The following is a 3,065-nucleotide window of genomic DNA, read 5'->3' on the forward strand; positions in this document are numbered from 1 at the left end:
CTGTCTCATATAACTGAATCTTAGAAGCCTTCCACCTCCATGTCTGCCATCTTCTGTTGTTCACACAGAGCAACCCTGGCACTGAGGGGGAGGAGACCACGGCAGGTGTGGCTATCAGAAGGCAGGCCACTGGGGCCATCTTGGAGGATAGCTATTGCAGGGACCCAGAGGGGTTTGGGGTCAAAAAAGGGGGCAGGGGAAGGGTATGATTCAGAGAAGTTAGAACTGTGAATGGTAGTGTCATATTTCCATTAGACTGGATACACACCCCAGAAACTTAGATGTTCATAGCCTGACTGCAGAGCTCCTTGAGCTCTACAGGGACAGGGTGAAGAGGGTGCTTCTGCTCTGAGCAGGTGGAGGGTGGGGGTGTTTAGGGATTAGAAAAACAGAACCTGTAGATCTTAGAGTAATGTGGACTTGCACTGGAGAGTCCTTGGTGGAGATGGCCATGTCCAGCTTCACCGAGCTGGGCTGTGTCTATTTGCTTGTACAGTGACCCATTCAGAGTGCACCCATAGGAGGGTCTAGGGAATAAGATAGGGCTCCTTACAGAATGGGGTAGCTTTTAAGCAGAGCCTTGAAAGAAGGAAGGATTTGGTCAGAGAGAGGCAACGAGGACATAAGAGTGAAAGGAACAGTGGAAACAAAGGCTCAGAGAAATACACAGCCAGTGGCTTTCAGGACACTGCCCACCATCTTTGCTGCTATGCAGGCTCCAGTTCCCATCTGACCTACCGCCTTCATGCACCTTTCCTCTTCATTTTGCTCCACTGAATTTTATGTTTCTGTAAATTGCCAGTAGGGATTTTTCTTTGTCTTTGCCAGGTAGATGTTAACGTTCACTCTGAGCTCTGGAGCCAGTCCAGGCCATGGAGGCTGCGCCGAACCCCAATCTAGTTCACCTTCCTTGAACAGCAGCTCACCACCCCTCCTGTTCATCCTCAGCTGCCCACACCTAGCCTGGTTCTGTAGGAAACTCCATCCTCAGGGAAGAAGCAGGAGTAGGCTGCTGCAGAGCCAGCCAGCAAATTCTTGAAGCATGAACAGGTTAGTTTTCATCAAAAGATTTGAAAGTTCTGGACAGCCAGATACCTCTCTTTGGGATAACAACATTTATAGGCCCTAAGACCTGTCTTCCAGCTCCTGTGTGCACTGGCTGTCTGCCTTCCGATGCCCACGCCCACACCATCACCTCAGAGTTCCAGAATCCCCAAGCCAGGCTCTCTGAGGCCTTTTCCACCCCCTAGAGGTCTCAGGGCCTGATCCAATTCCTGTAAAGTAGGCATCCAGCCTGGAGGCACCAGGGGGCCCTAGGCTTAGTCCCCAAGCATATGCAGCCCAGCCTCAGCCCTGATTCTCCAGGTGTGGACAGCATCCCCATTTACACTCTGACTCCCATGACAGGGCATCTACTGCTTCTCCTCTTGCCAGGCTGCTCAGCAAGTTCTGCCCCTTGGAGCCAGTGATGCTTAATTTTATGTGTCAACTTGACTGGGCCATGGGATGCCCAGATGTTTCAGTCTCTTTTCTGTTGCTATAACAGAAAACCTGTGTGAAAGGAAACTCATTAAGCCAAAGGGAAAAGTTAAGCTGGGAACTGGGTCACGCAAACCAGCCTCCCCTTTTCTTGTTCCTAAATAAGATGGCTACAAGATGAAAAGCTACATGTCTCCCCCATAGTTTGCCCATAAGGAAATTCCTAGTAAGCTTCAAGATCTTTATCCTAAAGTTTTTCTGTTAAAATTTCACTATGGCAATGAAAATTGGTAGCTTACCTTTACAGGTGCAGTCACCCCCGCTCCACCCACCAGAAACAAATGCATGTCTGATTGTTCTCCTGCCCTATTTTGTCCATGTTATCTTATGTAAAAATGCAGATTCCCTGCATTTTTCCTCTGCCCCATTTGTCTATGTTATTGTCAGTCAAAAAAAAAATGTGGATTCACTGAGCCAGACAAAGGCATGAATGACTATTTTTCCCTACCTGCTCTTACATGAAAATTGTTGACTTCTCAATACCCTGCCCTTTCCCCTTTAAATTTGGAGCCCTCAAAATCATCTTCAGAGAAAGGCATAGACCTGTCTCCTGGGCACGTGTCCTTAACTTTGGCAAATAAACCTCCTAAAATGATTGAAACTTGTCTTGTCATTTTTTCTCAATTGACATCTGAATACATAAGAAAAGAATTTCTGGAGGCTGGAAGGTCCAAGAGCATGGCACAGGCATCTGGTGAGGGCCTTCCTGCTGCATCATAACATGGCAGAGGGCATCACATGGCAAGAGGTCAAGTGCCAGGGAGCCAGAGAGAGCTCACTTTGATAAGAAAGCCACTCCCAATAACAAACCCACTCCTGTGACAGCAACATTAATCCATTCACAAGGTACAGCTCCCATTAACCCATTAATTCATTCATGAGAGCAGAGGGATTAAATTTCCAACTTACGAACTTTTGGGGGACACGTACAAACCATAGCACCAGATACCTGGTTAGATGTTATTTGGGGGTGTGTCTGTAAGGGTGTTTCTGGAAGAGATTAGCATTTGAATTGTTGGGCTGAGTAAAGCAGATGGCCCTCCTCAATGTCTACATTGTTCAACCTGTTGAGGGCTTGAGTGGAACAAAAAGGTGGAGAGAGGTTGAATTATCTCTCTCTGCCTGCCTGTTCAAGCTGAGACTTGGAGCTGAGCCACTGGGCTGGAACCTACACCATTGGCCTTCCTGGTTTTCAGGCCTTCTGATTTGGACTGGAATTAACAGCACCAGCTTGCAAATAGCAGATTATGGGACTCTGCAGCCTTCGTAATGGTGTGAGCCATAATGGTGTGAGATATATAGATATATTGGTTGTTTCTCTAAAGAACCCTGACTACTACAGTGCCCCTAAAAAAGGTAAGAAGATAGAAGCTAAGAGGCCGGGCACGGTGGTTCATGCCTGTAATCCCAGCATTTTGGGAGCACGAGGCGGGCGGATCACGAGGTCAGGAGATCGAGACCATCCTGGCTAACATGGTAAAACCCCATCTCTACTAAAAATACAAAATAATTAGCCGGGCATGGTG

General features: G+C 47.6%; 1 annotated feature.

Moving 5' to 3' along the window:
- Positions 2,285 to 2,855: an enhancer, noted in NCBI's record as "OCT4-NANOG hESC enhancer chr15:68799611-68800181 (GRCh37/hg19 assembly coordinates)". NCBI's record gives its function as "activates a minimal SCP1, AML or CMV promoter by ChIP-STARR-seq in naive and primed H9 embryonic stem cells {active_cell/tissue: H9 hESC(naive and primed)}" and the evidence as "EXISTENCE:reporter gene assay evidence [ECO:0000049][PMID:30033119]".

Source organism: Homo sapiens, chromosome 15 (genome assembly GCF_000001405.40).
Source record: "Homo sapiens chromosome 15, GRCh38.p14 Primary Assembly".
Lineage (NCBI taxonomy): Eukaryota > Metazoa > Chordata > Mammalia > Primates > Hominidae > Homo > Homo sapiens.